Source organism: Homo sapiens, chromosome 3 (assembly GCF_000001405.40).
Source record: "Homo sapiens chromosome 3, GRCh38.p14 Primary Assembly".
Classification (NCBI taxonomy): Eukaryota; Metazoa; Chordata; class Mammalia; order Primates; family Hominidae; genus Homo; species Homo sapiens.
In genome coordinates this window covers 135223334-135245715 of record NC_000003.12, presented here as the reverse complement: position 1 = coordinate 135245715, position 22382 = coordinate 135223334, and the positions used below count along the sequence as shown (strand labels likewise).

Below are 22382 nucleotides of genomic sequence, written 5' to 3'. Positions count from 1 at the left end.
TCCTGCCTCAGCCTCCCGAGTAGCTGGGACTACAGGCATGCACCATTATGCCCTGCAAACTTTTGTATTTTTAGTAGAGACAGGGTTTCAGCACGTTGGCCAGGATGGTCTCAATCTCTTGACCCCGTGATCCTCCCGCCTCGGCCTCCCAAAGTGCTGGGATTACAGGCACGGGCCGATTTTTTTTTTTTTTTTTTTTTTTGAAGACTGTTCTGGTATTTGTTTTTGTATTTGCTCTTTGTTTGGTGTGTTTACTTTCTTTTTAAGAGGACATCAAACAGCCACTGATTCCTCCTTTCTGGGCAGGTCAGCTAGGAACACAGGTCCATTTGGCTGTGTTGGTGATAGTACTACATAGTGCATAGACCTTGGAAGGCTGGTTTCAAATCCAAGTTCCATTTCTTATTACCTATAGAACCTTGGGAGAGTCACCTGACTTCCTGAAACTTCACAGATGAGATTGTTACAAAGATTAAATGACACCGAAGTGATGCGTGTTGAGCACAGCGCAGATGAGTAGTAGGATGAATCCTCATCACACAGAAGGTGTCATTACGGCTGTGTCTATTTTAGTAGATGTCTTCCCAGCAAAGAAGGGAGTTACTACTGCTCATTTTGGAGGTCCAGGAAGATAGTATTTGAAAAGCACCAAGGACTTTTCTCACTTTTCAGGGTAGAGCATAGCCATGGGAACCCACTACCATGTTTGTGTTTAGAAAATGGGACTTTACTCCATTTGTTACTTCTTGTAAATAATTTTGTTGTTATTACTTGAGCTGATAATCTGGGAGCATTAATGCTTCTTGCACATAGGGAAAAAAGTGTCCTTTACCCTTCAGCCCAAAGAAAAAAATACTGAGATCAATCATTGGTATATGAGTAGCATTTATCCACTCAAGTCTTTGAAGTACAATGCCTTTGGAGATTTTTATTCTCTTCTTTAGGATATGCGTGTTTTCTAAATTTCTGAGCAATAAAATTTAGTCAAATTACAATATCATTATATCAAAAAATAGCTTTGGTCTTCTAATGGGACTTTGAAATCATTCTCTGTCACACTTGCCTCACTAGCAGGTATGGGGAACAGGAAGGAGGAGTGGAAAAGCACCTTCATTCTGGCCATGTGATGATGGCTGTAAATGACAATGACCAGGTTTGAATTGTATGGAAAGATATGGCCTAAGGTTGGAGGCATAGGGTGTCCTACTGAGCAGAGTTGAAAACAGAAGTGAATTCTGGGCTCCTTTCATTGGTCCACAAGAGGATGAGATAAGTGGCTATTGAGAAGATTGAAGATTAGAATGAAATCAGATGGCATTTCCAGAGAGAAGTAAAAGTAAAGCTCTGGGGGCAAGGAGACCAGTCTAGGCAACTGTTACCCAGAGCTCTCTGCTGTCTCATTTTGAAAGTTCAGCAACAACTCTTTTGGCCATTGCAAAGGCCAGTGTAAGCAAACGTCCTGGGATCTAATTAAAGAGGCAGGGAGGAGGTGTGGTGAGGGGTTGCCTTTATTCACCTGTACTGAGAAATGGTAGGTACACAGGTTCTGTAGGGATCAGGTGCAGGTAGTCTGACCCCAGGTGCTCTCTGGGACTGGGTGGAGTGACTAGAACGCCTCTGGGAAGTGGGCAGAGCCCCTCCTGTTGCCCTTGTATTTTCAGGGCCTGCTCCCGGCTGCCCCCAGACATGTATTTCCCATTAGTGAGTCAGGCTGTGGGTAGTGCCTAGTCGACCTTGCACTGGGGAGAGGGAAGTGGAGGAACTCAGAGCAGTGGAGAAACCAGGGCAGAGTGGGTTAAGTCAAGCTCTGATGTTTCAATAAGACTGCAGCTCCTCTCCACAGACACTGCCACTCTCATTATCTCTGTCAATCAGATCCAAGCAGCAGAACTTCCAAGTTGCTCTCTCTGGCTGACAAACTCTCTGTACATGTTCAAAGACCTTCCTGTGCTCTGGAAGCCTAATTACCGGCACTCCAACTTGCCTCTGCAATTCTCTTCCTTAAAACCTTTCAATTGTCATCTGTAAAATCCTTTACCACCACCAACTTGGTGGTTTCTGATGAGTGAGGCTTCAGCCCGGCAGCTGGGAGCCCCTCCTGGCTCTCTCCCAGGCCAGGTTGTAAGAAGCTTTCTGAATGGGCATGAAGTCACCTCTTGCCTCCCACGAGGAGCAAAACTGCACTTGAGACAATGCTTAGGGGCTTTATTTTGAAGGAGCACGCAAAATTAGAATAAACTGCTACTCTACAGATGTTCTTATTCCCTCTGAGACCCATCTCAAACGTCAAATATCCAGGAAGTCTTCCCTTACCTCCTCCACTCAAATGTTCTCAAAGCCCCATGTTTATGCCACCGGACTGTAAAACCTTCTAGAATCAGCAAGCACAGTGTTTAGTCACAACTAGCATACACTGATTGTGTGTTAAATGAATAACTTGGGAATTCTGGAAGTCTAATATCAGAAATTTTGTTTTCAGCATTGACAGAAAATATCTTGAATGTGAAATCTTGCTTGTCAGACAGTTTTGTAATTCATTCTGTAAGTGCTGAATTGTTCTTAGTCAGATTAAGGTCTTGGGCAGGATAAGATGGGTCTGATTTTTCTTTTCTTTTCTTTTCTTTTTTTTTTTTTTTTTTTTGAGACAGGGTCCCGCTCTGTCACCCAGGCTGGAATGCAGTGGCGCGATCTTGGCTCACTGCAACCTCTGCCTCCAAGCTCAAGCAATTTTCGTGCCTCAGTCTCCCGAGTAGCTGAGATTACAGGCATGTGCCACCATACCTGGCTAATTTGTATTTTTAGCAGAGACAAAGTTGTACCACATTGACCATGCTGGTCTCAAAGTCCTGGTCTCAAGCAATCCACCTGCCTCCACCTTCCAAGGTGCTGGGACTACAAGCATGAGCCACTGCGCCCTGCTGGGTCTGCTTTTTCTACTAACATGTTATACTTATTTAGCAGCTGGTATAGACAGAACCAGGGTGCAGCTGATTTCATAAAAGCAGGCTTTGCACTAACTCCACCGCTTACTGATTTGATGTGCTTCAGGAGCAGAGGCAAGGTGTTGCTAATCCCAGATAATAGAGGACCTAGACACCAGCCATAGTTGACTTCAGGACCCGGTTAATGGTGCAGCCATTTCACCCACTCCAGGCTGGAGCCACTCTGCCCATAGCAACAGGGAGTACTGTCATAGAAGTACCCCAGCTCCTCTTTCCACAGTCTCTCTGGGAAGTTGCCACCTTTCTCAATCTTCCGAGCAGCTGCCATGGCACTAAACCTTTCACAGGATAGAAGGCTTGCTGACTCCATAGCTGACAAGTTCCTCAGTGTCCACCCTAGCACAGAGGGGGTTACAGTGTGGCTGGCTGCCAGTGGACTCAGATCTGAACTGGGGACCATTCTTTCTCTTTTAGCTGTCAGTTGGGAAGGATAAAAACTGCCCCCTCCCAAAGTGATGGGAAGGGCAAGCAGAGAACATAGGTATGCAGCTTTGCAAATTGTAATCCTCTCAGCTCCAACGGGAGGGTATGTATGCAAAACACAAAAGAGGCCTGGTCCCTGGAGAGGGTGAGAGGCAGTGTTGAAATTCAGGCAGGACTTTTCATTGGAGACTTATCAAAGCAAATCATCCGAAAAAGGCTTCCTCACCTTTTAGTAAGTATGGAGCAAAGGTTCTCATGTGGAACATTCCAAAAAGCCTCTATTTAAAGCATGTTAGATGACCCATCTCTTCCTTTCTCACCCTTTTCCCTTGAGGGCATCCTGGGGGAGTGTTGACCTCCCCACAGACAGGGACCCTCTCCTGTGGCCCATCTGAAGCTGCCCAGCTTTGGAAAGCTTTCCACCTCTTCCTTCACTGATAGGTGATATGGGATCATAGAAGAGTGAATTCTCAAGGAAGAAGGGCCCTTTCCAATTACTCTCTTTAAAGCTAAGAGGTACAAGTCCCACACAGAAACTGCGACTGGCTCAATGGAGCATAGCCGTCAGAGGCAGAGCAGGATGGGAACCCAGGCCCTGGCCCCCAGTCCAGTGCCTCCTTCCCCTCTGTCGTTCACAGGGAAGGAAAACACAGAACCTGAACACTTAGAAGCAGGGTAGACTTTACTGCTTAATTTGGGGCTGATCTATTCATGGTCCTCAGCCATTTGGAAACAGCCCATTGTCTCTTGGGTTGGAGACTGTGGCCTTGGCACCTCTACAGGCTTTGTGGTTATAGGGCCTTTCACACCTCCATGCTGGGCTCTTTGATTAGTTCCAACATCCATGCTAAGGGTGTCCCTGTATCCCCTACCCTGAACACTGCAGGTTCAGATTATGAGGCCGTGAGCTGAAAACAGGAGGAATTGGTATGCTACTGCCTTTGGGATCCCTTCAATGGGGGTTTGTGGTGACCAAGTGCTGCTGACACTCACATCTTGGTTGGACATATCCCAATAGGGTCTCTCTCCAAATGACATGACTTCCCACATGACGATCCCATAGCTCCAAACGTCGCTGGCTGAAGTGAACTTGCGGTAGGCGATGGCCTCTGGAGCTGTCCATCTCACAGGGATCTTCCCTCCCTGAAAGAAGGAGAAACCGTGGTCAGCCCAACAATCAGGTTTCTGATTGAAGGCAGGCAATAAAAAACTTGGCATGCACATTCTTCCAAACTCTCACTCCCATATCTTGTGAATTATGACAGACAGGCTATTCTTGCTTCGTGCACAAGCTATGTTGCTGTGCCTAGTTAGAGAAGCTCAAGGTGACCAGCATGCCTGTGCTGGCTTCTAGCCTCATGTGGATATGCCACATGTGCCCTGGTTCCCTCTATGTGGGTTCCAATGTTGCTGCAGGGGAGGTGGGTGGGAGGAGAGAGTGTAACTGTCATAAAACTCACTGGAACTACCTGAGATTGGCTACATGAGAAACAAGTTATGGTTTTCTTTGCTCCCTGGCAATGTAAAAGCTAACACATTTGGGTCAGAAGGAATTGCAATGGTACAAAAGGAAAGAAGAGTGATGAAGCATGCCTCCTGGAGAGCCCTGCCACTACAAGGTCATGCTATGCTGCCCTCTGCCCCATTTTTGTTGCATTCCACCTCTGGGGGGCAGGTTTCCCTAACTCTGTAGCATGCAGATAGCCCTGAGCTTCATGAGGGTTGAATGGTCCCAGTGCTGTGGTCTTTCTACATGCTGGCTGTCCTGCCAGCCCTTCAGTGGAGGTCAAGATTCCAGAGTCTAGAGATGCTCTTTTCTACAGGGCCACTCTTAGGCTTGTTTCTCCTTCTTGCCTCCAATCCCACACTGGAAGTTTCTAAATTGGCTCTCTGCTTGGCCCTCAGCTTGTCTGCCAGACCTTAGCCAGTTTTGTTTACCTAAGGGATTCACATCTATCCACTCATTCATCCATCCCATCAACAAATAGGCAATAAGCACCACTTTGTGCCAGGTCCTGCTGAGAAGCTGATGTCCCAGAAATAAGCCAGTGTCCCTGCCCTCAAGCTGAACAGGACAGTGGGGAGACAGACAAGAAAACAAAAACTTAAAATATATTGTTAAAAACATTGAAAAGTGAGGGAAGGTGAAGATGAGAGTGGGTACAAGGTGTTCTGAAAACCAGAGGAGACTCCCCAACACAGGGAAGGGTCAGGGAAGGCAGGCAGGAGCTGTTAGAGAAGCAGTTTCTGGTGGTGGTTAAGAACTCCTGGAGCCTTTGTCTGGGTTTGGATACCAGTACTGCCTCTTTCTACCTGTGCGGCGGGGGCAAGTAACCTACCTCTCTGTGCCTCAGTTTCTCATCAGCACCTACACAGCCCAGTGTTAACTATTATTTTCACTATGCTCAGCCCTAGAGAACAAGTAGAAGTTAACCAGGCAAAGTGACTGGAGGAGGGAAGTCCAGGCAGAGAGCAGCTTTCTCAACGGCCAGGGATAAGAGAGAGGCTGGGACATACAAGCAATCCACAATGGCTGAAGCAGGGAGTTCCTGAAGGAGAAGTAATGGGAGGTGAGCATAGAGCAGACAGCTGGCATGGCCTGTGCTGTCCAGCATCAGTGCCAATTACAGCTGTTAAACAGGGTTCTTGCCAAGGCTGTCCTCAAAAGCTCATCACTCCCTATAGCAAATATGACCCCCCTTTTCAGTTTTTCATGCCAAATGCCAGGATTTCACCCTTTCATGCTTTTTTCCATGCTTAGGCTCTGTCTCTCTCCATACTACGTGGAACATGAAGCCACTGGCTGCAGCAGTAACAGCACAGAGCAGGGACGGCAGCTCCCTCACTCCCCTCCTCATTTACTTCATGCCTCCACTGAAAGAGGATATTTTTATACTGCCCATTCTTACAATCTGCTCAAGTCACCAAAGATACATGGTTGACGTTAGCAAAAATACTGTAAAAATGTAAAAATGGTTAACCCGAGCTAGGCAGAAAAAAAAAAGGAGCAAACAGCAAAGTGTATTTTTATCTGGTTTCCTATCTGGAGCCTGGGAGGAATAAAGGCAACCAGGCTGGACCTCCCCAGGCACACATCCCACTTTCTGCAAAGAAGACAGTCCTAATTTCCCCTGAGGATGGTGGCAGGCTTTTGTGGTGGGGGAGATGTCCTCAGCTCAAATGCCAGCTACACGACAAATGCCTGGAGGGCATGCTTAGGCTGTGGCTGCAGCCAGACTCTCTGTTCTCATCATCCCCCAGAACATGAATGAATTTACTGGTTTTATCAACATGTTCCCCACGGCTGGGAAGAGAGGTGAAGAATTCATCCAGTGAAGCAGCAGCTACCAAACACCTGGAGGTCAATGTCTGATAGTGCAGAGACCCCAAGTTGTGTGTTGCCATTAGGGAAGGTGCTGTTGTCACACCTCGAGATGGCCTGGGCTCCCCCAGAAAAGAGGGGCTTTGGTTTTCTCAAAATACCTGGGTTAAGTGAGGTAGGAGAGAATTGGAGTTTAATTAGTATACTGTGTGTGTGTGTGAGAGAGAGAGAGAGACAGAGACAGAGAACCAGATTGTGTGTGAGAATGTATCAATCTGTGTGTGAGAGTGGGAGACAGAGAAAACTTGGCAGTGTAGGTCTCTGAGTAAAAGAGAGTTAGGGCTTGCTTATCTTTTGTGTGTGTTTGTGTCAGAGAGAGGAGGGGAGATGACAGTGTGGCTCTTCTGAATTTCAAAGAGGTGATTTGGGAGTCTGAGAGTGTCCTCCTCTGCCAAGTCTGGAGCAAACCCCAGGGGCTGTCAGTGACAGCTGTGGAGCCGCTCCCTCCTGCCTGGAAAGTGGCAGTGCCTGGCCCACGGCAAGGAGCCTACAGCCCTCCTGCCACCTTGCACTGTTGGGCCTCACTGAACACTGAGCTTGGGCTGTCACCGCCGCCCCCCTCCATCCCAGCAGGTGGCTGAGCCTTTGAGAAGAGCCCCTGGACAGGCAGGTGACAGCTTGTCATGGCAGGCTCTCCTGCTCAGCTGAAGAGAAGGGGGACACTGACTTGGGAGGCAGAACAAAAGGAAATGCAAAGTCAGGGGAGCACAAGAGTGGGCACTTTGTTTCCTAGGAATTTTAAACCTTCCTTCCATCTTTTCAAACATCATTGTCAATGTTGCCTTCTGGTGCTCAGAGGTAATCATGGTGATGATTATTGATATAATCAATATCAATATCAATTATTGACATAATTAATATCATCAAGTGATGATTATAACTTGTCTTCAATTATGTGAAAGGAAATCTATTAATTTAGAGGATGGTGACCAGCCCTGTGGAGGGAAGCAGAAGAAAAGGAAGTGGAACCCTGCTGCAGCAGGCAGGGTTCTGCCAGCCAGGCGGTCCTGCTGCTGCTGCATGAGGAGCTTGGACCAGACACCAGGGCCAACACAGCCATGTGACTTTAAAGTGCCCTAAGAGCCCCCAGCTCCCCAGTGCAGGTATGAGGAAGGGGCATAGAGGAGTGCTTGCTCCATTGGGTGGTGAGGAATATCAGGGAAAAATTCTCAGGGCAGTGAAGAATGCATGGGGCTCACTGGAAAGGAATCTGCATTCATACGGACACAGAAGTGCTGACACTGGGCTTGGGGAGAGCACTGTCCCTGGCAGGGGTTTCTACAAGGTACCAGATGACTTGCTTCCCTGGGGGATGCTAAGGGTATGGGTCTGCTTTCTGCAGGGACTGGGTTTCCCTAGAGCTGCCGCAGGGGTCACTGTTGGAGCATGGGGGAGGGAGAAGAGAAGAAGAGGAAGAGGCAGCTCACTGTCATTAGGGGTCTGAGTTCCCTTCAAGACTTCATACACACCTTCCACACAGAGCTTTGCATTGAATAGTTGTGTTGCCAAGAATTCTTCAAATGTTTGAAAACCACTGCTTCAGAAAAATTATGTCTTAACTCAGATATACGATAAATTTAAGATTTTGTGTCTGTCTGTGTGTGTGTGTGTGTGTGTGTGTGTGTGTGTGTAGAATTTGGTGAACTACGAGAAGATATCTGGCAGCGAATTAATCCTAACCCTGTCATCCTCAAGGTCATCTGCTGACCCACATCCACACCTGCCAGCAGGTGTGATGCCAACAGGTAGAAGCTCTTGGTGTAGAGGCACTTTAGTCCCTCAGCTTCAGACAGTCTGCAGCAAGCATCTATGCAGCACCCATTCTGTCCTCAGTACCCTGCTGGGGACATGGTAATGATGAGCCTCAGCCCTACTCTCAATGGGCAATGGATGTCCCTAACACCATCCAGCCAGCACACTGTCTTGCCACGGTGAGGTTACAGAAGTACAACACATAGCTTTGGTTCTAGAGCCCACCCAAGTATGAAGTTTTCCAGGCCAAAGTCCAGGCATATGACTGATTCCTTTTGCTAATTGCTTATTGTTGAGAAGCCCAGAGGGTAGCACTTCTATGTGTCTGGGCATTGCTACAGCACTTTTCTCCACCATCTTGTGTGAGACAAAATCTCAATGGGATTATGGCAGAAATCCAGCCACTCATGAATACTGAGTATTGTGTTCATGGACTTGTTCACCAAATATTTCTGTTGTGCAGCATGAGAGGATCCCCTTGAAGTTTGGAAGTGATAGGTTCATGGCCGAGTGTATCATGAAATGGCTCTGAATTTCGTAATGCCTGCTATTCCAAAAGGTTTATAATACATAAAGTATATTGAGGTTGTTGTGAAAGTCCAACACGATAGAAATTTAAACCACACAATATATTCTTATTATCATTAAACAATAAATTATTGAATGTTGTGTATTGAGTTATATCCCCACAAAAGACATGTTGAAGTCCTAACTGTGAGACCTGTGAATGTGATCTTCTTTGGAAACAGGGCCTTTGCAAATATAATCAAGTTAAAATGACATCATACTGGATTAGGATGAGCCCTACATTTCATGCTGGCATCCTTATAAGAAGGCCGAATGAAAATACAGCAACACACCAGGGAGAATACCATGTGAAGATGGAGGCAGAGATTGGGGTGATGCATCTACAAACCAAGTTATATCAAGAATTGATGGCAACTAGGAGAGAGGCATAGGATAGATCCTCCCTAGAGCCTTCAAAGGGAGAACGACCCTGCCAACACCTTGATCTCAGACTTTCAGCCTCCAGAACTGTGATAGAATAAATTTCTGTTTAAAGCTGTTTAGTTTGTGATACTTTGTTATAGAAGCCATGAGAAACTAATACATTGAGTATATACAATTTTATCAGATACTAGTTTAACAATACCACTGTTAAGTTCCTAGGTGGCAGAACCATCACGGGCTACTATTAGGGGGCAAGAGGACTTGGGAGTGAGGGATAGCTCCAACACTTTATATCAAAGCCCCTCGATTAACCACAGGGCCCCTCTAACATTTCATCACTGCTGTTGATCAGACCTCGGCCACAGTTCATACCTTGAAGCACTGCCCTTTGTCATCCTGCCTGAGGGAGAATTCTATCCTCACTCTACCATCAGTGTCCCCAGACTCAGATGGCCACTCCAGGCCTAGGTAAATGCACAACAACACCGGCTGAAAGCTAGGCCAATACACATTTTCTTTGATTACTCAGAAGGCCTAGCCCAGTGGTTCCCAAGCTTGGTTACCTACTGGAATCACCTGGGGAAAGTTTATTTGTTTGCTTGTTTTTAAAGCCATGAATATTTTAATTTATTCGAATTTCTCGGAGTGGTGCCCAAGCATTGGTAGGTTTTTGGTGATGCTTCAGGTGATTTGAATGTCAGGCCATTAGTCACAGCTACTGGCTGGAGAAGTGGTTCTCAAATTTGAATGTGTATCAGAACCTACTGGAGGGCTCATAAAACTGGTTCTAACCCAGACTTTAAAATTTACTAGTTCTGGGGTAGGGCCTGAGAATTTGCATTCCTAACAAATTCCCAGTGTGGTTCTCCCACTTTGAGAACTGCTGGCATAGATCAATCCGACATAAGTCATGGATTGCTTTAGGAATTGTCTTAAATACAAACTCTGATAATTGTTAGTGCCTGGTTTAAGAAGGATTCTGAGGCTTCATGACTGGGCTCAACAAGAGGTTTTGACTAATGACTACATGTAAGAATCACCTGAAGCACATTCAAATCATCAATGCTCGGGCACCACTCCCAGAGATTCTAAATTAGAATACTCAAGGCACTAACAAAAAATAAAACTTTCCCCAGGTGACTCCAATGAGCAACCAAGCCTGAGAACCACTGGGCTAGACCTTCCAGGTATGGAGAGAAGAGGGGTATTTGTGTTGATGAGCAATGTCTTCCTTGGGTGAGGAAGTAGGCAGCTGTTTGCATGGCAAGTGATATGGTTTGGCTGTGTTACTACCCAAATCTCATCTTGAATTGTAGTTCCCCTAATCCCCACTTATTGTATGAAGGACCCAGTGGGAGGTAATTTAATCATGAGGGTGATTACTCTCATGCTGTTCTCATGATAGTGAGTGAGTTCTCACAAGATCTGATGGTTCTATAAGGGGCTTTTTCCCCTTTTGCTCAGCACTTCTCCTTCCTGCCACCACGTGAAGAAGGACAAGTTTGCTTCCCCTTCCACCATGATTGTAAGTTTCCTGAGGTCTCCTCAGCCATGCTGAACTGTGAGTCAATTAAACCTCTTTCCTTTATAAATTACCCTGTCTTGGGTATGTCTTTATTAGCAGTGTGAGAACAGACTAATACAGTAAATTGGTACCAGTAGAATGAGGTGCTGCTATAAGGATACCTGAAAATGTGGTAGTGACTTTGGAACTGAGTAACAGGCAGAGGTTGGAACAGTTTAGAGGACTCAGGAGAAGATACAAAAATGTGGGCAAGTTTGGAACTTCCTAGAGACTTGTTGAATGGCTTTGACCAAAATGCTGATAGGAATATGGACAGCGAAGTCCAGGCTAAGGTGGTCTCAGATGGAGAAGAAGAACTTGTTGGGAACTAGAGCAAAGGTGACTTTTGCTGTGCTTTAGCAAGGAGACTGGCAGCTTTTTGCCCCTGCCCTAGAGGTCTGTGGAAATTTGAACTTGAGAGAGATTATTTGGGGAATCTGGCAGAAGAAATTTCTAAGCGGCAAAGTATTCAAGAGGAAGAGAACATAAAAGTTTGGAAAATTTGCAGCCTGACAATGAGATAGGAAAGAAAAACCCATCTTCTGGGGAGAAATTTAAGCGGCTGTAGAAATTTTCATAACTAATAAGGAGCTGAGTCTCCAGGGCATGTCAGAGACCTTCACCACAGTCCCTCCCATCACAGACCTGGAGGCCTAGGAGGGAAAAATGGTTTCCTGGGCCAGGTCCAGGTTCCCCCTACTGTGTGGAGCCTTGGAACTGCAGAACTGTATCTCAGCTGCTCCAGCTATGGCCAAAAGGGGTCAAGGTACAGCTCAGGCCATTGCTTCAGAGGGTGCAAGTCCCAAGCCTTGGCAGCTTCCACATGATGTTGGTCCTGTGAGTGTGCGGAAGACAAGAATTGAGGTTTGGGGATCTCTGCCTAGATTTCAGAGGATGTATGGAAATGCCTGCATGTCCAGGCAGAAGTTTGCTGCAGGGGTAGAGCCCTCATGAAGAACCTCTGCTAGGGCAGTGTGGAAGGGAAACGTTAGGTTGGAAGCCCCACACAGAGTCCCCATTGGGGCATTGCCTGGTGGAGCTGTGAGAAGAGGGCCATCATCCTCCAGACCCTAGAATGGTAGATCCGCCAACAGCTTGCACTGTACACCTGGAAGAGCTGCAGACACTCAAGGCCAGCCTGTGGAAGTAGCCAGGAGGGGAGCTGTACCCTGCAAAGCTTCAGAGGCAGACTTGCCCAAGGCTGTGGGAGCCCACCTCTTGTATCAGCATGACCTGGATGTGAGACATGGAATCAAAGGATATCATTTTGGAACTTTAAGGTTTAATAACTGCCCATTGGATTTTGGACTTGCATGGGGCCTGTAGCCCCTTTGTTTGGCCCATTTCTTCCCTTTGGAATGGGTGTATTTACCCAATGCCTGTACCCCCATTGTAACTAGGAAGTAACTAATTTGCTTTTGATTTTACAGGCTCATAGGTGGAAGAGACCTGCCTTGTCACAGATGAGACTTTGGACTTGGATTTTTGGGTTAATGCTGGAACGAGTTAAGATTTTGGGGGACTGCCGGAATGGCATGACTATGTTTTGAAATGTGAGGACATGAGATTTGGGAGGAGTCAGAAGTGGAATGGTATGATTTGGCTATCTCCCCACCCGAATCTCACCTTGAATTGTAGTTCCCATGATCCCTGTGTGTTGTAATAGAGACCCAGTGGGAGGTAATTTAATCATGGAGGCAGTTACCCTTCTGTTCTACTGTACTAGTGAGTGAGTTCTCATAAGATCTGATTGTTTTATAAGGAGTTTTCCCCCCTTTTGCTTGGCACTTCTTGCTGCCGCCATGTGAAGAAAGACATGTTTGCTTCCCCTTCCACCATGATTGTAAGTTTCCTGAAGCCTCCCCAGCCATGCTGAACTGTGAGTCAATTAAACCTCTTTCTTTATAAATTACCCAGCCTTGAGTATGTCTTCATTAGCAGCATGAGAACAGACTAATACAGCAAATATTTTTCAACATTGTACTAAGCCTCAAAAGATCTTAAAATGATGAAAAAGGAAAAAAAGCAGCAAATTGGCCTCATTAATGTTTCTGTCAAGTATATCTGTGGCCCAAAGGAAATGGAGGGCAAATTGAGATAAAGTTTACATTGTATGTCAAGAGTCACCCTGGAGTTGGCAGGTTGGACACTCTGCCTTCGAGCAGTGACCCTCCTGACTGTGTGGTTGACCAGCCTGGGTATAGCACCTGCTTGCGAGTGAGGGTCTGTGCAATCCATTGTAGACAAGTTCACACACAGATGGGCCTGCCCTCAGGGGGCATCCATGTGGCACACCCCTGCTCCTGTTCCACAGTCACTGTCTACTGCACTGCTCTAAAGTGAGCTGCAAGTGTTTCTGTGTCAAATTAGAAAGGTATTTTAGAATAAATGTCTCAACTTAAAAGCTCTCTGAAAGTACACTGACCCATTTTCCTCAATCTAATGAGTAAAGTGATATTTTTCCAGACAAGACTCATAACAACTAAGAAGGAAAAGAAGTTTTTGCCTAAAAGGTTATCTTGCTCTGAGTGTCACCAGCTTCTAACAGCTAGTGGAAATGGCTTCTGGCTGCTGAATTGCAACTGAGTCTATATAATAAAGAGGCTGTTCCCAGTTCCCCAGGATGCCAGGAATTTGCATGAAAACAGTCTCTCATCTTCTGAAAGAGTTCATCTGGCCCTGCTGCTTATTTCTTTCCAGAAGCCACAATCTTGATGGTGACACTGTAATTTATTACCGTGCTAAGGATTATGATGCAACATACAGAGAATGAAAACTTGAGGTGGGAAGCAGGCTGCAGGAACAGGTGAGCTTTTGGAGAGGATGGTCTCGTTTGTCATGCAAATGGCACACATAACAGAGAAGAGAGCTGGGAGAAAAGACAACCCAAAAAGACACATAGCATTAGCTGCTGACAAAATTGTTTCTAAATAGAATGTTTTTCAAAGCTTTTCTTGAAGCATTAGCTGCTCCTCCAAAATGAATGGCAGAATGTATTTCGTACTAGTAATAAAATATGTGATTTGAATAACTACAAATGGAAAGATTTACAATCGGGTGGGGTCCTTGCTGCCTCTCCCCTGAGCTTTGTGAGCGCTGAAACCCTTCTGTGCAATGCTGCGAAAGGTAATTGCAGCCCAAATATAATTTTCCAGCAGCTACAAAAAGGCTTATTTGGACATAAATTAACTAAAAATATGTGGATGATAGTGTGTATTTCATGTGTGAAGAACAGAAAGGCCACTTGGTGACATTTCCCAACTGGAAAAAAAATCTTCAACCAAACAGACGTCATTTTTCTGTACTATACTGACTGGGCAAACAGCTCTCTTTTACTATCCACACCCAAAACAGCCTCTGATGGCCAGGATACAGGCATTATTATTTCTTTTTATTATCCAGTGCTTCTTGAGTTTACAATTAAAAAGAAAGGATGGAGAGACAAGGGCTAAATAATTAACTAGCTGCCTTCATTCATTTGACAAGCAGGCCCCTCTCTGAGCCAGGCCAGGGACAATAAAGGGCAAAGAAACAGCATCCCTTCTGCCCTGAGGAGGACACTGTCCAGGGAATCCCGCAGGGGTAGTCAGGTCTTTAGTGGTGCAGATCCTATGTTCATCGCCTCGCTATTCATGACAGCAAAGACATGGAATCAACATTAGGTGCTCATCAATGGTGGGTCGAATAAAGAAAATGTGGTACATGTACACCATGGAATACTATGCAGCCATAGAAAAGAAAGAAATGATGTCCTTTGTGGTAACATGAATGGAGCTGGAGGCCAGAATCCTAAATGAATTAGTGCAGGAGCAGAAAACCAAATATCACACATTCTCACTTATAAATGGGAGCTAAACATGGAGCACACATAGACATAAATATGGGAACAACAGACACCGCAGACTACTAGAGGTGAGAGGGAGGGAGGGAGGCATGGGTTGAAAAACTACTTATTGGGTTCTATGCTCACTACTTGGGTCCAATACACCCATGTAACAATCCTACACATGTACCTCGTGTATCTAAAGTAAAAGCCAAAATTATTTTAAAAATTTAAATTAAATTACCCTAATTTAGATCTTGCTAATAAAAATAAAAAATAATGGTGCAGGTGTGTTCTCTCCTTGTTTAGTCCCTGAAGCCTGGGTCCTGCTATCAGTGTTCCTGAAGTGAGTGCTCTGGAGAAAGAGCAACTGGACTCACCCCAAAGGGCTTTAGCTTCTCTAGACACTTTGCTCTCCTAGATGGTGGGGTACTGATAATGAACAGAGAGAGCCAGCATCCCATCAGGAATGTAGTAAGCAGGGCTGGACTTGCCCTGCTGCTGAAACAAAAATGCCCTCCTCCAAGGCAGGTGGGGAGGGGACAATGAGCCTCTAGGCCCTCTGGGTGACAGGCTGGCATGGAGGACCATGGAACAGGGGGCAAGAAGGGTTCAGGAGGAGGCTCAGAGGCCACCCCACTATCTCCCCTTCTGTTTCCAGGCCACGTCCAGTGTTTCATCCATTGCTTCTCTGACAATGGCAGGAACTGTACTTTTTCCCAGAGCCTCTCTGCACCCATGCCTCACTGCTGCCCACCCTCAGCCCCAGGCTCATCCTAAGAGACCACAGCTTCCTCTCTGTCAGCCAGTCTGTTTGCCACACCAGTGACCCCTGGGCCTTTCCCCATGTCTCCAGGGTTTCCATCCATCAGTAGGCCATGATGCCATTCCACCTTTCGCATGTGTCTCCCCAACAACCCTTGGTCACCCAGACTCTTCTCCCATTCTGTCCCTGCCCTGTGCATGGAGGCTACATGGGCTTCCTGCTGCTCTGAGGTGAAGCTGCACTTGCTACGGCAGGCAATACAGCTGGCAAGTCCTTCTGACATCGAGTGGCTACTGGTGGGGCTGCTGATTCCAGTGGATGCTCTGTCTCTGGAGAAGGTTGGGGCTCTCAGATGGAGACTGGCCCCTGCTTAGCCAACTTGGAGACCTCTGTACAACTCTGTGGGAAGGCTGTGGGGTGTTTTCTATTGTCCTTATCATGGCCTTCAATTATTTTTTCTCCTCTTCATGTGGGGTAAGCAGCTGACAGACTGTCTATGGCAACCCGTTTTAAGAGACACACTAGGTATATTCCTTCTTTTCATTGCAATGTTTGAATGCCTTACCAGTGTCCACTGGCCATGCTTCTAGTCTCTCTTCCTGCCCCCGCCCTCCAACAGCTATTTAAAAATAATCAGTCACATTAAATAGCTTAAGCAATTCTGGCCTCCTGAACTGCACTTCCTTCTTGGCATGGTTTCTCCCGCAAACAATCCCAGCAGTTACAACTAAGTCACTTAAACACTCTGTCTTACCGTCTCCACCTGCCAATAGGGATAATAATACTTAATTATCTCAGAGGGGCGTATGAGGAGCTGTTAGCTAATGCTGGCAGAGTGTGCCAGTGCTGACGGAGCTGCTCCACCTGCCTCCCTGCATGAGCCCTGCTCTCTGGGCTGTCTGCCCTCCTCTGGTGGTGGTGAGGGATGGCCAAGGAGGGGCAGAGTCTGCTTCAAAGGCTGTATTGGGAGGGCAGCTCCTTCCTGTGTATCTTCTATACTGGGGATGAAACCAAGTATTCTGAGTCTCTTTTAACAGGCACTGGGAACTGGACAGGAGAGGAGGGTGACCAGGGGTCCACACCTGGTAAAAAGTGGGGGGGTGCTCTTGAAACCTCCCATTCCAGATCCCATGCTGCCTTTTCCTCATATTGGATGACAGGAAAGAAGGAAAGAAGATACATGGAGAAGTGTGTCCTTGCATATGGAGGGCAGATAAAAATCTCCCAAAGGAAAAACAAAAGGATTGGCTTGTGTTTTACTTTCCCAGAGCATGGAGTCCCTGTCAGCCAAGGGTCCCACCCCACCCACGCTGTCACCCCTCAGACTGCCCGACTCTCAGTGAGCTCTGGGATATAAAAGAGCATGTCAGTTTACTACATCTTTGATGGTTGAGAAACGTTGGTTGAGAGATAAGAATATTAAGAATATTAAAGTGCCTCAGAGTAAAATGGGAAAAAACATTGATGCTTTGTTTTTTAAATAAAGCATGAATAAGCACATTTACACTGGGACTAAGACTGATGACTCTCTGTGTGAGGAAGAGGATGTGAAAATGGGCAAATCTCGTAAGCTATGCAAGAATATAAATTGGCAAAAGGCTTTGGGGGAATAAACAGCTACCAAAATTTAAAATATACAAGTTAACATCACACAAAGGACAGGCAAACATCACGTGCCTCCAGAAGCAATACCCTAAGAAGGGCACACTGTCACTTAGGCAACACATAAATAACCCGAATCTAAGCATGAAGGGACATCAGACAAACTCAAAATGAGGAAGAGTCTATTACACAATATTTGAAAGGTATCCTTTAAAAATTTAAAAAGTATTGTGAAAATTTTCCTGATTAAAAGATATTAAATGAACATGATAACTAAATGCAGTCTCAGAAGCTAGACTGGATCCTGTACTAGAGCGAAAAAAAGGCTAAAAAAGATACTTTTTGGGTCAATTGACAAAATTAGAATATAGATAGTAGACTAGTTAAAAGTATTTTATCCATGTTAAATTACTAAAGTTGATAACTGTACTATAGTTATGTAAGAGAATATCCCTCCCTATTCTTAGGAAATACGGAAATACACACGAAGAGTCTAAGAATAAAGAGCGATGATGTATGTAACGTATCTTCCAAGAGTTCAGAAAAAATATTTTACAGAGAGAGAAAGAGAGAAAGGAAGAGAGCAAATAATAAAGAAATGGGGTCAAATGATAACAGTAGGTAAAGAATCCGGGCAAATGTTATATGAGTGTTGTCTGTATTATTCTTATTCTGGGAACTTTCTTTAAGTTTGACATTATTTTTTTAAAATTAATGTGCAAATTCTTTGATCTAGAAATTTATCTTCTTGAAATTTATTTTATAGAAATATACATACGAGTGCACAGACATGTCTATATAAGAATTTTCACTGAAATGTTGTTTGAAATAACATAGCATCAGAAGCCACCTAGATGACCATTTAAAAAGAGCTTGTCTCCAAAGGCATGAAGTGAGGCGCTGAAGGGGAAAGGTAATATTCAGGATAAGTCATTAAGTAACAAAGCAAGCAGCCTATGAGTAGATCATTATGTATGGTATGAGACCATTTTTTTGAGAGTAAAATGTATACACAAAAAATACACATATGCATACACACACACACAGTAAAGAGGAGAAGAAAGCACACCAAACTATGAATGATAGTAATTTCTGGGAATTTGGAAGGGGGAGTCAGTTTCACTTTTTACTTTGAACACATTTTTATTTTTTAATGTTATGAAGCATTTTGTTTATTTTTAAATTGCAGATTTTATTTTAGATGGTTTCATTTTAGGGGTACATGTGTAAGACTCACTTTTTACTTTAAACATATTTTTATTTTTTGATGTTTTGAAGCACTTCATTTGTTTTTAAATTTCAGATTTTATTTTAGATGATTTTATTTTAGGTGTACATGTGTAAGATTATTACATGGGTATATTGGACCCAAATAGTGAGCATGGTACTGAATAGTGGATTTTTCAATCCATGTCTCCCTGGTCCCCCACCCTTCAGTAGTCTGCAGTGTCTATTATTCTCATCTTTGTGTTCATGTGTGCTCAATGTTTTGCTCCCACTTAGAAGTGAGAACAGGTGGTATTTGGTTTTCCTTTCCTGCATTAATTCACTTAGGACTATATCATCCAGCTCCGTCTATGTTGCTGCAAAGGACATGATTTCTTTTTTTTTTTCCTTAATGACTGTGTTAAGAAAATGATGGATCGGTTTTTAAATAAAGCCATAATAACATTTAAAAAATATGGCATTCTAGAGATTTCTTTCTTCAGATAGGCCAACAACCTTCCAAGTTGGACCAATAAGCCCCTTCTCCTGCATGTTCTGGGATTATTCCTCCCCCAGGTGTAGGGGAAGAAAGTAGAAGGTTTTGAAGGCCAAAAGTAGGTGAATGGGGCTGGTTATCACAGCCGTGCAGAGCCACAGGGAAAGAGTCGAATTCAGGGTTGGAAGAGCAGAAACTGAAAGGTCTCTTCCTACTGTGAAGAACCCAGCTGCCTGGGGGCAGCCATACTGCTCCCTGAGTACTCGGGCTCCTGCCCCATTCTACACTGACCATTCTCCTTGATATCTCAGATCTCCAGGGGCATGTCTGTCACTCGTTCGTGAATTTCTTAATTCATTCCACAAACTGTTACTGAGCAGCACATGAAAGCTCAGAGGTACTGTGATAAAAGAGGAAGCCAGGCCAGCTGCTGGGACAGAAGAGTGCCGCGGTAGGGCAGGGACATAAGGAGTGTGGCAAAGGCTTTGAAGAGCTACTGAGCAGGATGTGGGAGGAAACTGCCATGAGACAGGGCACAGGTTGCAAGAGCAGCATGCAAGCCGTAGTGTAGGCTGGACCATGGGCCAAGCTGCCCACAGCTGTCCCCAATCCTCATTCTTGAGGCCACTGATGCCGTTGGCCTGCCTAGGCCTGCACTACAGAAACCCCACTTGGGGGTAAGCTGGGGTTCCCCAGCTAGATTTAGGCTTTAGCAAATGCTGCTTGCATCTTACCTGTTCTTTCCCCACTGACTAATCTCTTTATTGTTTGATCTACTTTAAGATTTACTTTCCATTTTCCCATTCCTTAGAAAACCAGCCCTTGGAGTTGCTCCCACATTCCCAGACCTAACTTTCACCCAGCCTGGTGGGTCTAGAACCCTGGTCTTTGCTTCCCTGCCTGTCCTGCTTGGGCCTACGGTTTACAGTATGGCTGTCCCAAGGGCAGCTGGGCTTGTCAGAGTGGGAGGCAGAGTCACCTCAGTTTCCCCTCCTCCAACCTGGGACTGGACCCTTTCCCTGTGGCTCTTGGTGGCCACTATCATCATCCCCACTCACCTGAGGTGTGGCCTTCCTAAACTTGCCACAGTCTGAAAGCTCTGCCAAGAACTGTGGGGCTTCAGTTCCAGAGTTTTATGGAATCTTGAGAGTCATAGCAGTACCTTCAGCTGAAGCCCCCAAACTCCTCTTTTCAGAGGGTTCCAAATTCATTTTATATGAGGCTAATGAACTGCGAGCCTCGCAAACAATTTCCATTTTCTCTAATGCCATGGTCTCCCAAGGTTAGAGAACTTACTCATTTTGATGGCATCACAGGAACTCAGATGGCTCAGAAGAGAATCCTTAACCACAAGTCAGGAGAAGCCCAGGGAAGGGCCTAAGCTCTGTGACATCTGTCAGTGGCAAGCAAAAGCCTTCCCATCGGGCCTTGTTGACCCTGGAGGTTCTGCATCCTACAGGAATATTTTAGTATCTCCCAAGGATTGGGAGATACATCTTTTGGATTACGCCTTGCATCTTTCTGGGCCCTTCAGGGCTGTATTTTACTGCCTGTGGCAAAGGGTGGGTGAAACGAGGACAGGTGGAGGTGGGGGCAGGGCATCCTAGCTCTGCAGCAGAGTAGGTGTGAAGACAGAAACAGAAATTAAACAGCCAGCAAATCAGTGGAGCAGAGAGGAGCTTGTCTGCTTCCCCCCTCAACGTGCTCTCCCCTCCCCTCAAGTAAATCCCAGACAGATATAAATCAAAGGTGCAGGCAGAGCAGAGAGTGATGGAATAAGCTAGGTCTGAAAGGCCTTAGACTAGAACAGGGAGCAGCGGCCTGGAAACACATGAGAATCTTAATGTTCTTGGCCAAAGGTCATTCCAAAGCTTCTCAGGTAAAAATCAAAGAGAATGTAATGTTCAAAATGTCATTAGGTTGGGTTTCTAAGCAGAACAAAGGAACATTTGACTGGATTATGGAACTACCATCCAAAATATCTTCTTTTCAATGACAAGTGCTCACTGGTATATGGTGGCTGGAGCTGAAAAACATTATTTTCCCGTTGTGATAATAAAGACTAGTTCAGATAAGACTCATCAATGGATGCTGAAATTGGGGGGCAGTGAGGTGAATTTTTATGAGGAGCAGGATATTTGCATGGCCTAACATTATTTTCCTGTAGATTGCTAATTAGTCACAAGAGAAAAATATGTAATATATACTGTACATAACTATACATTGGAGAAATTGGACAAAACCTTGACCAGGTGATCAAAAGTAATAATACCAATAAGGAACAGATGGACATCAGGTGTTTCAAAATATAATAGCCTAGGAAGGACACAACATTTATGTAGGATTATAGCCAAGAATGTAGAATCTGAATCTAATTATGAGAAATATCAGAAAATATGCCAAATGAGGAATGTCTTATTAATGAAAAAAGGTGACTTGTATTCTTAAACAAGTCAATGTCATAAAAGGCAAAGAAAATCAGTGGAAATCCAGTCATGCATTGCTTAACAATGGAGACACATTCTGAGAAACATGTTGTTAGATGATTTCGTTGTTGTGCAAATATCTTAGAGTGTATGTGCTCTAACCTAAATGGGATAGCTCACTACACACCTAGGCTACAAACCTGTATAGCATGGTACTATGAAGAATACTGTTGGCAATTGTAACACAATAATATTTGTGTATCTGAACATATCTAAACACAGAAAAGGTATAGTAAAAATACAGTAATATAATATGGGAGCAGCATTGTATATGTGATTTGTCGCTGACCAAAACATCATTATATGGCACATAACTATATTTTAGATTAAAGGAGATTAAAGAGACATGACAACTAAATGCAATACTTGATCCTAGACTGAAGGTTCCAGAGGGCATTTATTTCAGTAGGGATTGGTTTTAACAATGTTAATATTTTGATCCATGGTGTAGACTTATTCATCAAACAATTTTTTGAAATTTTATTCAAATAAAGTTTTTAAAAATCCTCTTGTTAATTGATCAGGTATCTAAAAGAGTTATCTGACCAAACAATGACATTTCTTTTTGAAGTTGTTTTTATAGAGAAGCCAATGAGGAGTGCGCCAAGACATCTCTATCATGGCTTCAAATACGGATAATAAATAAAATGCAATATGGACAATCTCCTAGCTTTGGAACTTCTAAAATACAATAAAGTGTCTCTCACTCTTCTTTAAAAGCCAGTATTGGACATGGTTTGTAAACTCTCTTCTAAGCTTAGAAAAAGTATGATTGGGGACAGGAATGTTGACCACATTAAACAACCCATTATCATCAGGTTTGATGGCCTATACTTTTCAAATACTGAACTCATGTTGGCAAAACTTGTTTGAAAGGAAACCTTGGTAAAAGCATAATATCTAAAATAGGTAAGAGAGGAGCTGCTGTG

At 44.7% G+C, this 22382-nt stretch overlaps 1 protein-coding gene across 1 annotated transcript in view, besides 1 other annotated feature; it reads right to left on the bottom strand.

Annotated features, from left to right (window-relative positions):
- Nucleotides 1-22382, bottom strand: part of EPHB1 (EPH receptor B1) — a 465208-nt gene that overhangs the window by 14752 nt on the left and 428074 nt on the right. The window contains exon 13 of the mRNA NM_004441.5: nt 4419-4568. Coding sequence (NP_004432.1) covers nt 4419-4568 — 150 coding nt within the window. The remainder of the gene's footprint in view (nt 1-4418; nt 4569-22382) is intronic.
- Nucleotides 19298-19497: an enhancer, noted in NCBI's record as "active region_20577". NCBI's record gives its function as "activates an Ori minimal core promoter by ATAC-STARR-seq in GM12878 lymphoblastoid cells {active_cell/tissue: GM12878}" and the evidence as "EXISTENCE:reporter gene assay evidence [ECO:0000049][PMID:35858748]".